General features: G+C 38.0%; 1 protein-coding gene across 1 annotated transcript in view; it reads right to left on the bottom strand.

Moving 5' to 3' along the window:
- HPRT1 (hypoxanthine phosphoribosyltransferase 1) overlaps positions 1 to 13,253 on the bottom strand; it is a 40,504-nt gene that overhangs the window by 15,164 nt on the left and 12,087 nt on the right. Inside the window, exons 2-3 of the mRNA NM_000194.3 lie at positions 12,040 to 12,146; positions 10,141 to 10,324 (exon numbers count right to left, since the gene is read on the bottom strand). Of these exons, the coding sequence (NP_000185.1) occupies positions 10,141 to 10,324; positions 12,040 to 12,146 (291 nt within the window). The remainder of the gene's footprint in view (positions 1 to 10,140; positions 10,325 to 12,039; positions 12,147 to 13,253) is intronic.

The raw sequence follows: 13,253 nt of genomic DNA, 5'->3' as shown, positions 1-13,253 counted from the left end.
ACAGCATACACAAAAATAAATTCCAGACGGATTAAAATCTAAATGTAAAAAATAAAGCCATAAGTGGACTGGAAGAAAATAGAGAATTTTTTTTAACATCCGTAGAAAGGGTAAAAACCCAGGCATGACATGAACCAAAACTGAAGAGGTTCTGTAACAAATACCCCCTTTTATATATTGGGCTCCAACAATAAGAACCCATAGGAAAATGGAGAATGAACACAAATAGACAATTTATAGAAGAGAAGGTTATAAGGTGTAAAATTATATCTATCTGAGAAACAAACACTAAAACAATGTGATTCTACTGTTCTCCCACCCATACTGGCAAAACTTAAGCCTGATAATATGCTGAGGGGAAATAAGCACTCTTGTTGGTGAGAGTATTAATTGGCATAGCTTCTTTTGAAAATGACATAGCAATACCTGTTAAAATTGCAAACATGCATGTCACTTAATCCAGTAATCCCACTTCTGGGAATCAATGCTACAAAAACACTGACAAGTATACAAAGATACATTCAAGAGTGTTCACTGGGCCGGGTGCGGTGGCTTCATGCCTGTAATCCCAGGGAGGCAGAGGCAAGACGATCGCTTGACCCCAGGAGTTCAAGGCCAGCCCGAGAAACACAGCAAGACCCTGTCTCTCTTTTTTTTATTTAAAAAATAAATGTTCACTGTATCAGTTGTTCACAAAAACAAACCAACATGTCCATTAACAGGGAACCATTTAAATTAATCAAGTTCATCTACACAATGTAATACCATGCAACTATTAAAAAGCACCTGATAATCCAAAGCACACTGAGACAGAATAATGCTATTAAAAACACCAAGTAGTGGAACACTGTGTTGCCTATGACACCATTTTTATTCAACATTTAAACAAATTTGTAACAGCAATTACATGAGTAGTGACAATGGCGTTTATGAGACTTTTCACTTTTATGTGCTTCTATTTTTGTTATGCTTCTATATATACATCCATTTATTATGGAGTGTTACTTTCAAAAATCACAAATGGGCCAGTATTATTTGGTGTTGCAAGGTGAGCATATGACTTCTGATATCAACCTTTGCATATTACTTCTCAATTTAGGGAAATTACAGACATCCCTTATTCTAACTAACTTAAAACCCAGCATTTCAAACATACAGAATTGATGGGGAAAAAAAAGAAAGAAGAAAGAAAGAAAAGGCAACAAGCTTCAGATGACAGTGACTCACATCAAATTATTTATAAAATCTGTTAAATAGTGCCATCTTCTGGAGATACCTGGTATTACAGTCCAACTCCAGTTGATGTCTTTACAGAGACAAGAGGAATAAAGGAAAAAATATTCAAGAACTGAAAAGTATGGAGTCATGGAAAAATTGCTGTGATCCAAAGGCTACGGTGATAGGACAAGAAACAAGAGAACTCCAAGCAGTAAGACACTGCTGTTCTATTAGCATCCAAACCTCCATACTCCTGTTTGCCCCAAGGCTTTTTTAAAAAATAGAGACAGGATCTCACTATTTTGCTCAGGCTGGTCTTGAACTCCTGGACTCAAGCGATCCTCCTGCCTCGGCCTCCTAAAGTGCCGAGATTACAGGCTTGAGTCACCATACCTGGCTATTTATTTTTTCTTAACTCTCTTGCCTGGCCTATAGCCACCATGGAAGCTAATAAAGAATATTAATTTAAGAGTAATGGTATAGTTCACTACATTGGAATACAGGTATAAGTGCCTACATTGTACATGAATGGCATACATGGATCAATTACCCCACCTGGGTGGCCAAAGGAACTGCGCGAACCTCCCTCCTTGGCTGTCTGGAACAAGCTTCCCACTAGATCCCTTTACTGAGTGCCTCCCTCATCTTTAATTATGGTTAAGTCTAGGATAACAGGACTGGCAAAGGTGAGGGGAAAGCTTCCTCCAGAGTTGCTCTACCCTCTCCTCTACCGTCCTATCTCCTCACTCCTCTCAGCCAAGGAGTCCAATCTGTCCTGAACTCAGAGCGTCACTGTCAACTACATAAAATTGCCAGAGAAGCTCTTTGGGACTACAAACACATACCCTTAATGTCTTTATTTCTATTTTGTCTACCTCTTCAGTCTAGGTGAAAAAATAGGAAGGATAATAGGGAAGAACTTTGTTTATGCCTACTTATCCGCCCCTAGGAATTTTGAAAACCTCTAGGTAGCAATAAGAACTGCAGCATGGTATAGAAAAAGAGGAGGAAAGCTGTATAGAAATGCATAATAAATGGGCAGGAAAAGAACTGCTTGGAACAAACAGGGAGGTTGAACTATAAGGAGAGAAAGCAGAGAGGCTAATCAACAAGGCTGGGTTCCCAAGAGGGCATGATGAGACTATTACTAAGGTAGGAATTACTAAGGGCTCCATGTCCCCTTAGTGGCTTAGTACTATGTAGCTTGCTTTCTGCAGTGAACTTCAGACCCTTCTTTTAGGATCCTAGAATGGACTTTTTTTTTTTATCGGAAAACAGTCATTCTCTCAACATTCAAGCAGGCCCCAAGTCTACCACACTCAATCACATTTTCTCTTCATATCATAATCTCTCAACCATTCTCTGTCCTTTTAACTGTTTTTCTATACCCTGATCAAATGCCAACAAAAGTGAGAATGTTAGAATCATGTATTTTTAGAGGTAGACTGTATCTCAGATAAAAAAAAAGGGCAGATATTCCATTTTCCAAAATATGTATGCAGAAAAAATAAGTATGAAAGGACATATGCTCAGGTAACAAGTTAATTTGTTTACTTGTATTTTATGAATTCTTTTAAATAAACACATTACTAAAAAAAAAACTAAAGGTTTTTGTCAGTTAAAAAACGACACTGATGAAGCACAGCCCTTACAGATCATCTAGTACTACACTGTCCCATACGGTAGCCACATGTGGCAATATAAATTACTTAAAAATTCAGTTCCTGTGTTGCACAAGATGTGTCAAGCGCTCAAAAGCCACATGTCACTAGTGGCTCTGTACCACATAGCAGAAACATAAAAGATTTCCATCCTCAAAGAAAGTTCTATTGAACAGCATTGCTCTAATTAAATAAAAAATACCATTTAGCACAACATAGTAATAGAAAAGATTGAAGAGTAAGTGCTGATACTTAAAAACCTGGTATTTTCTGCCAGGCATGGTGGCTCATGCCTGTAATCCTAGCACTTTGGGAGGCTGAGGTGGGAGGATCGCTTAAGCCCAGGAGTTCTAGACCAGCCTGGGCAACAGGGTGAAACCCCGTCTCTACAAAAAATACAAAAAATTAGCTGGGCGTGGTGGCATGTGCCTGTAGTCCCAGCTACTTGGGAGGCTGAGGTGGGAGATAACCTGAGCCTGGGAGGTCAAGACTGCAATGAGATGAGATTGCACCACTACACTCCAGCCTGGGTGACAGAGTGAGACCCTGTCTCAAAAAAAGAAAAAAACAAAAAACAAACAAAAACCACCTGGTATTTTTAAGTACACTATTTTCAAACATTCAAACATTCAGAAGTTATTTCATCCTATCTTCATGGTTTCCATTTTATGCCTGGTTTGGGATTAGGATCTGATAAAATAAACGTGTGCAACAGAACCACTTCTCATGGCTGTATAACAGATGATCAATATGTATTTGCTGAGGAAATTATTCAATTTTCTTAATTTTTTTTCACAAAATTTGTGGTTTCAAGGGACCAACCTTGACTACTACACCTTCATGTTCTAAGAATCAGGGGACTTATATAAAACCTCAGTTACCTGATAAGGACTACATCAAAGTGAAAAGCCATGGGAAAGAACTAGAAAGTATACTTTTGAACCTAGTTCTGTAAAGTTTCCTTATGCCACAGATAATACACATCCCCATTCCTGCCAAATTCTTTCTCTCACCCCTGTCTATGGTCTCGATTCAATAAATAGGAGAAGGGCATGAATTTGCTTTAGATAGATAGATAGATAGATAGATAGATAGATAGATAGATAGATAGATAGATAGAGATAGACAGATAGAGATAGAGACAAAGATGGAGACAGAGATGGAAATAGAGACAGATTTACAGAAGATAAGTTCTAGGTAAACTAGTGTCAACATCAAAGTGGTATACCTACATCTAACTATTCTGGAGAGAAAAGTATACCTCAAAGAAATCGACTACATACAGAGAAAAAGTTTAAGCTGAAAGCTACTGCCCTCTTACATGAGACACTTTAAGAAACTACTTGGGGGGCAAGTGAGAAAATGGGGAGATGTAGCTCAGAGGATACAAAGTAGCAGATATGTAGGATGAACAAGTCTAGAAATATAATGTACAACATGAAGTATATAGGTAATAAAATTGTGCTGTATTTGGGATTCACACTAAATGAGATTTTAAGCTCCTCTTGCCACCAAAACAAAAAAAAAATGGGTAACTATGTGAGTTGAGGGATACGTTAATTTGCTTCACTGCAGTAATCTTTTAACCACCTATATGTATCCCATAACATCATGTTGTATACCTTAAATATACAGAATACAATTTATTTAAAATAAAATACTCCAATATTTTCTGCATTTTTAATATGTTCAAAGAAAGTATTAATTTGCATCTTTGATGTTAAACAGAGCCTAATCAAGTCACTATCAAGATCAACACTAAAGTTATAGCTATTCTCTTTTGATACCTTTTGAGACACACACACACACACACACACACAAATACACATATGTGTTTGTGTGTGTGTGTGTGTGTGTGTATTTTAAGTTATCGTTTTGGCCAGGTGCAACGGCTGACACCTGTAATCTCAGCACTTTGGGAGACCAAGGCAGAAGGATTGCTTGAGACCAGGAGTTTGAGACCAGCCTGGGCAACACAGCAAGACCCTATCTCTACAATTTTTTTTTTTTTTAAAATAGCCATGGGTGATGGCACGCACTTGTAGTCTCAGATACTTGGGAGGCTGAGGCAGAGGATCCCTTGAGCCCAGGAGTTCAAAGCTGCAATGGGCCACTATGCCACTGCATTCCAGTCTGGGCAACAGAGCAAGACCTTGTCTCAAAAAAAAAAACATTTCTAATTAAAGATAAAGAGTTATAGTTTTATGAACCTTGACTGCAACTGAGGGAAAATCCCGTAATTGGCAAAATGAATTCTGTCTGCTTGCAAAACTTCTGACTAATAGAGAATGAATAATAGGAAGCCCATATTAGAGGATCCACATCAGTTAAAAAGTTTTTCCAAATAAGAGTGACTCTGAGTTCTGCAGAGTTAAAAGATTGGGTTCAAATCAAAGACTTGTATGATCTTGAGTAAGTTACTTAATCCCTCTGTGACTCACTGTTCTCAAATGTAAATGAAGATAATTTGTAACTCAAAAAAATAAAAATGAAAAAGTTTTCTCTAAGATTGCAAATCCTAAGAATAATTTCATTTTAATATCAGTCATTTAGTCTGGATACACCATAATGCAGACTAATTTTCCCTCTGCTTAAGGTCCACACAAAAACATTTCCAATAAAATTTACTTGTGTATCAACTTTTCCTCCTGAGGCTTTGTTGTTTTTTTGGTAAAAAAATAAAATAAAATAAAATAAAAATAAAAATAAAAAAATCACTAGACTGGGTACAGTGGCCCATGCCTGTAATTTCACTTAGGGAAGCCAAGGCAGTTGGATTGTTTGAGCTCAGGAGTTTCAGACCAACCTGGGCAACATGGCAAAACCCTGTTTCTACAAAAAAAAATGCAAAAATTAGTCAGGTGTGGTGGCACACACCTGTGGTCCCCGCTACTCTGGAAAGGGAGGTGGGAGGATTGCTTGAGCCCACGCAGAGGTTGCAGTGAACCAAGATGGCACCACTGCACTCCAGCCTGGGTGACAGAGCAAGATCCTGTCTCAAAACAAAAACAAAAACAAAAACAAAACAACAACAACAACAACAACAAAAAACCACTGGCCAGGCACGGTGGCTCACGCCTGTAATCCCAGCATTTTGGGAGTCCGAGGCGGGTGGATCACCAGAGGTCAAGAGTTCTAGACCAGCCTGGCCAACATGGTGAAACCCCATCTCAACTAAAAATACAAAAATTAGCCAGGCATGGTAGCAGGCGCCTGTAATCCCAGCTACTCGGGGGGCCAAGGCAGGAGTATAGCTTGAACCTGGGAGGCAGAGGTTGCAGTGAGCTGAGATCACGCCATCGCACTCCAGCCTGGGGGACAAGAGTGAGACTTCGTCTCAAAAAAAAAAAATCACTATAAAATTGAAATAAATTCACAACAAAGGAAATACATTTGTATACTTAACCTTCTTTTTATTTACTTATTTACTTATTTTTAATATTTTGAGATGGCGTCTCGCTACATTGCCTAGGCTGGTCTTGAACTCCTGGGTTCAAGCCAGCCTCCCGTCTTGACTTCCCAAAGTACTGGGATTACAGGTGTGAGCCACCATGCTCAGCCCATATTTAACTTTCACTTTCTGAATATCACAGGGCAGAAAAGGTCATCAAATATATAGTACTATATTTCATTGCTCTAAGATGCACATTCACATTTTATTAATAATAGCTCTAAAATTGATGTATTACAATTGATGGCAATTTACATTTATAACTGGTAGTGTTTTCTTTCTTGGCAGTATGAAAAATAGTGTTAAGTCTTAAAATCAGTGACATCTTTAATTTAATGAAATAGGTATTTGGAATCCCCAGGCAATTTCCCATCTAGGCACTAGGTAAATAAAATCCTACCAAGCTACTTGGATTAAGAGTACGCATATGTGTGTGTGTACACAGAGAGAGAATTCTTTAGAATATTCTAAATAAAAAGTGGCAGTGATATTTGGAATGACTTAAATCCTTTATAATTTTCTGCAGTTGTGTTTTCTTTCTTATTTTTTTAAGACAGGGTCTCCCTCTGTCACTCAGGCTGGAATGCAGTTCCACTGCATTCCACTCAGTCTCGAACTCCTGCAGTCTCAAACTCCTAGGCTCAAGGGATGCTCCTGCCTCTGCCTCCCAAGTAGCTGGGACTACAGGTGCACGCCACCATGCACAACTAATTCTTTTTGTGTAGAGAGGGGGTCTCATTATGTTGTCTAGGCTGGTCTCAAACTCCTGGCCTCAAGTGATTCTCCCACCTCGATCTCCCAAAGCACTGGAATTACATGTGTGCCACTGCACCCAGCCGTATGTTTTCTAATAAGCATGTTTTCTTTAATAAGAAAAATGGAGTTTTTATTTCCAAAAAAAAATAGATGGGTGTGTTGACATCATAATGTTTCTTTATATATTCTGGAAACATTTAATAGTTCATAGAATATTTCTTTAGGATTAGTACGGATCAGCCAGATTTTAACTCACTGTTTCAAATTGGTCAAGATCAGCATGTAAAAATCATACTGACATCAATGTTATTGATGCTGCAAACAATTTAAAATTTCCATTTTACAGTTTTACCAAATTAAGCTGCCTAATGTTTTATATGCATATATGAATATCTTACATGACAAGCTGCTGAATTATTAAACAGGGTAGAAATGCTACTTCAGGCTGGGCATGGTGACTCAAGCCTGTAATCCCAGCAATTTTAGAGGCTGAGGCAGGAAGACTGCTTGAGCCCAGGAGTTCGGGATCAGCCTGGGCAACACAGTAAGACCCAATCTCTACAAACATAAAAAAAAATTAGCCAGCCATGGTGGTGCACACCTGTTAGTCCCAGCTACTCGGGAGGCCGAAGTGGGAGAATCACTTGAGCCCAGAAGGTCAAGGCCACAGTGAGCTGTGATCTTGCTACTGCATTCCAGCCTGGGTGACAGAATGAGACCTTGTCTTTAAAAAAAAACTTTACTTCAAATCAACAGATATTTTTATTATTTGTAAAGATAGGGTATTGCTGTGTTGCCCAGGCTGGTCTCGAACCCCTGGCCTCAAGTGATTCTGCTGTCTTGGCCTTCCAAAGCACTGAGATTACAGGCATGAGCCATCATCAAATCAAGAGATATTATCAGAAGAGCTTTCTCAATTTCTACTGTTTAACAGTATATCTTCCTTGCATAGCCCTATAAATATACTAAAAAGCTTGGAATTGTATAGTTAAAACATGTGATTATTATATTATATAAAATATACCCCAGTAAAGCCTTTTTTAAAAAATTAACATGTCGGCCGGGCACGGTGGCTCATGCCTATAATCCCAGCACTTTGGGAGGCTGAGGTGGGTGGATCACCTGAGGTCAGGGGTTCGAGACCAGCCTGACCAACAAGGTGAAACCCCATCTCTACTAAAAACACAAAAATTAGCCGGGCATAGTGGCAGGCACCTGTAGTCCCAGCTACTCGGGAGGCTGAGACAGAAGAATTGCTTGAACCCGGGAGGTGGAGGTTGCAGTGAGCTACGATCATGCCACTGCACTCCAGCCTGGGCAACAGAGTGAGACTCTGTCTCAAAAAAAAAAATAAATAAATAAAATAAAATAAAATAAAATAAAATAAAATAAAATAAAATAAACATATCAATAAATACCAAAAAAATAGTATATCTACATAGAATTTCACATAAAATAAACTGTTTTCTATGTGAAAATTAACCTAAAAATATGCTTTGCTTATGTTTAAGATGTCATGCTTTTTATCAGTTGAGGAGTTCAGCTTAATAATCCTCTAAGATCTTAAACAAATAGGAAAAAAACTAAAAGTAGAAAATGGAAATAAAATGTCAAAGCATTTCTACCACTCAGAATTGATCTTATAACATGAAATGCTTTTTAAAAGAAAATATTAAAGTTAAACTCCCCTATTTTGCTCGTTTTTGCTTATCTAAAATAACATTCTGCACAAATCCCCAAAGATTAGTCATAACGTAACAAGACTGATTAAGACTGATGGGGATGGGGAAGGAGGCTATAGAAGACCAAAAAGATAAATCATACCAACTCTAAGTACATGCTTTGACTCTAAGCAGCAATGTATTAAAGGCTGGCCAGTTATACTGCCAGCAGCTATAATGACTAGAATGAAGTCCTACTGTAAACCATCAATCAATCAATCAATCAATCAATCACTTTTGTTGAGTAAAAGTCTAAATTTTGTGTTTAAACAAGTCTTTAATTCAAGCAAGACTTTAACAAGTTAAAAGGAGCTTATGGGTAGGAAGTAGTGTTATGATGTATGGGCATAAAGGGTTTTAATGGGATAGTGAAAATGTCTATAATAATACTTAAATGGCTGCCCAATCACCTACAGGATTGATGTAAACATGGAAAAGGTCAAAAACTTGGGTCACTAAAATAGATGATTAATGGAGAGGATGAGGTTGATAGTTAAATGTAGATAAGTGGTCTTATTCTCAATAAAAATGTGAACATAAGGCGAGTTTCTACAAAGATGGACAGGACTCATTCATGAAACAGCAAAAACTGGACATTTGTTCTAATCTTTGAAGAGTATGAAAAATTCCTATTTTAAAGGAAAACAGTAACTCACAGGAAATACCAACCCAACATAAAATCAGAAACAATAGTCTAAAGTAATAAAAATCAAACGTTTGCACGATCAAATTATGAATGAAATTCACTACTAAAATTCACACTGATTTTGTTTCATCCACAGTGTCAATGTTGTGATGCATTTCAATTGTGTGACACAGGCAGACTGTGGATCAAAAGTGGTTTCTGGTGCGACTTACTCTCTTGAGTATACCTGCAGTCCCCTTTCTTAAGTGTGTTAAAAAAAAAGGGGGATTTCTTCAATTCGCCAATACTCTAGCTCTCCATGTGCTTTCTAGGAAACAAGTGTTAACCCACCTTATTTGTCAAACCTAGCTCCAAAGGACTTTTGACTCCCCACAAACCGATGTAGCTCAAGAGAGGGTATCTGTCACCAGTATGTATAGTGAAAAAAGTATCCCAAGTCCCAACAGCAATTCCTAAAAGGAGTTTATTTAAAAAACCACACACACCTGTAAAATAAGTATATATCCTCCAAGGTGACTAGTTTTAAAAAAACAGTATTGGCTTTGATGTAAAGTACTAGTGAATATGTTAGAAAAATCTCACTGTAACCAAGTGAAATGAAAGCAAGTATGGTTTGCAGAGATTCAAAGAAAATATAAGAAAACCTACTGTTGCCACTAAAAAGAATCATATATTAAATATACTCACACAATAGCTCTTCAGTCTGATAAAATCTACAGTCATAGGAATGGATCTATCACTATTTCTATTCAGTGCTTTGATGTAATCCAGCAGGTCAGCAAAGAATTTATAGCCCCCCTTGAGCACACAGAGGGCTACAATGTGATGGCCTCCCATCTCCTTCATCACATCTCGAGCAAGACGTTCAGTCCTACAGAAATAAAATCAGGAATTTAATAGAAAGTTTCATACATTAAACTTTATAACAAACACCTCTTAGTCATTAAACTTCCACACCAACCTGGGCAATATAGTGAGACCCCATGCCTGCAAAAAAAAAAAAATTAGCCAGGCATGGTAGCATGTACCTGTAGTCCCAGCTACTTGAGAGGTGAGGTGGGAAAATCACTTTAGTGCAGGATGTTGAGGCTGGAGTGAACTGTGATTGTGCCACTGCACTCCAGCCTGGACAATAGAGCAAGACCTTGTCTCAAAAAAATGCATTAAAAATTTTTTTTAAATCTTCCACGTAACACATCCTTTGCCCTCATGTTTCATAAGGTAAAAAATTTGATACCTTCAAAAAAACCAAGCATACCACTATCATAATTTTTTTTAAATGCAAATAAAAACAAGATACCATTTTCACCTATCAGACTGGCAGGTTCTGATTAAATGAAATTTCTTGGATAATATACAATATTAAGAGAGACTGTAGAAACTGGGCCAGTGGCTCATGCCTGTAATCCCAGCACTTTGGGAGGCTGGGTAACATGGCGAACCCTGTTTCTACAAAATAAAAATATTAGCTGGGAGTGGTGGCGCACACCTATAGTCCCAGCTACTCAGGAGGCTGAGGTGGAAGGATCGCTTGAACCCAGGAGGTTGAGACTGCAGTGAACTGTGATCATTCTGCTGCACTGCACCCCAGCCTGGGCAACAGAGACCTTGTCTCAAAAAAAAAAAAAAAAGAGACAAATTGTGAAGAGAAAGGTACTCTCATATAACATCAGGAGTATAAAATGATTCAACTTCTTAGAGGAAAATTTGGCAATACCAAAATATTCAATAAACTCTTTCCCCTTGACCCAGAAATTCCACTTGAATAAAGCTGAACAAGTACCAAACATGTAAAAGAATGTTTCTTCTAGTACAGTCGGTAAGAACAAAATAGTGTCTATCAATAGTGGACTGGTTAAATCAGTTATGGTATCTCCATAAGACAGAATGCTATGCAACCTTTAAAATATATTAGATAGCTCTAGACACACTAATATTAAAAGTGTCCAATAACATTTAAAACTATACTCATACGTTAAAATATAAATGTATATATGTACTTTTGCATATAGTATACATGCATAGCCAGTGCTTGAGAAGAAATGTGTACAGAAGGCTGAAAGGAGAGAACTTTAGTCTTCTTGTTTATGGCCTCCATAGTTAGAATATTTTATAACACAAATATTTTGATATTATAATTTTAAAATAAAAACACAGAATAGCCAGACATACAATGCAAGCATTCAATACCAGGTAAGGTTTTTCACTGTAATTGACTTAACAGAAAATTTTCAAGCTAGATGTGCATAATAATAAAAATCTGACCTTGCCTTCATGTGATTCAGCCCCAGTCCATTACCCTGTTTAGGACTGAGAAATGCAAGACTCTGGCTAGAGTTCCTTCTTCCATCTCCCTTCAATGTTTACTTTGTTCTGGTCCCTACAGAGTCCCACTATACCACAACTGATACTAAGTAATTAGTAAGGCCCTCCTCTTTTATTTTTAATAAAGAAGATTTTAGAAAGCATCAGTTATTTAATAAGTTGGCCTAGTTTATGTTCAAATAGCAAGTACTCAGAACAGCTGCTGATGTTTGAAATTAACACAAGAAAAAGTAAAAAACCTCATTTTAAGATCTTACTTACCTGTCCATAATTAGTCCATGAGGAATAAACACCCTTTCCAAATCCTCAGCATAATGATTAGGTATGCAAAATAAATCAAGGTCATAACCTGGTTCATCATCACTAATCTGAAAAAGAAATATAGCTGTTTCAATGAGAGCATTACAGGATACAAACATTTGATTGGATTAAGATGTTAAAAAATAACCTTAGTCTATCAGAGAAATTTAGGTGTAAGATGATATTAGTAACTGTTAACTTTGTAGGTATGATAATGAATTATGTAAGAAAACAACAGGCCGGGCGGGTTGGTTCACACGTGTAATCCCAGCACTTTGGGAGGCTGAGGCAGGCAGACTGCCTGAGCTCAGGAGTTCGAGACCAGCCTGGGCAACACGGTGAAATCCCGTCTCTACTAAAAATACAAAAAAATTAGCCGGGTGTGGTGACACATGCCTGTAGTCCCAGCTACTTGGGAGGCTGAGGCAGGAGAATCACTTGAACCTGGGAGGTGAAGGTTGCAGTGAGCCAAGAATGCGCCACTTCACTCCAGCCTGGGAAACAGAGCAAGACTCTGTCTCAAAAAAAACAAAACAAACAAACAAAAAAACAGGCTGGGCGCGGTGGCTCACGCCTGTAATCCCAGCACTTTGGGAGGCCGAGGCGGGTGGATCACCTGAGGTCAGGAGTTCCAGACCAGCCTTGTCAACATGGTGAAACCTCCCCCCGCCGTCTCTACTAAAAATACAAAAATTAGCCAGGCGTGGTGGCAGGAGCCTGTAATCCCAGCTACTTGGGAGGCTGAGGCAGGAGAATCGCTTGTACCCAGAAGGCAGAGGTTGCACTGAGCTGAGATGGCACCATTGCACTCCAGCCTGGGGGACAAGAGCGAGATTTCGTCTTTAAAAAACAAAAAACAAAACAAAAAACCATGTAACTATATGTCTTAGTCATCTTAGTCAAGAATGTAGAAGTAAAGTGATAAGATATGGAATTTCCTTTAGGTCACAAAGAGAAAAAGAAAAATTTTAAAGAGCTAAGACAAACGCAGCAAAATCTTTATATTTAATAATATTCTAAACATGGGTGATGAACATACGGGTATTCATTATACTATTCTCTCCACTTTTGAGTATGTTTGAAAATTTAGTAAAACAAGTTTTAACACACTGTAGTCTAACAAGATAAAATATCACACTGAACAGGAAAAACTGGCATGGTGTGGTGGCTCACAC

Source organism: Homo sapiens, chromosome X (genome assembly GCF_000001405.40).
Source record: "Homo sapiens chromosome X, GRCh38.p14 Primary Assembly".
Lineage (NCBI taxonomy): Eukaryota > Metazoa > Chordata > Mammalia > Primates > Hominidae > Homo > Homo sapiens.
The sequence above is the reverse complement of the archived record's forward strand: the minus strand, read 5'-3'. Positions and strand labels throughout refer to the sequence as shown.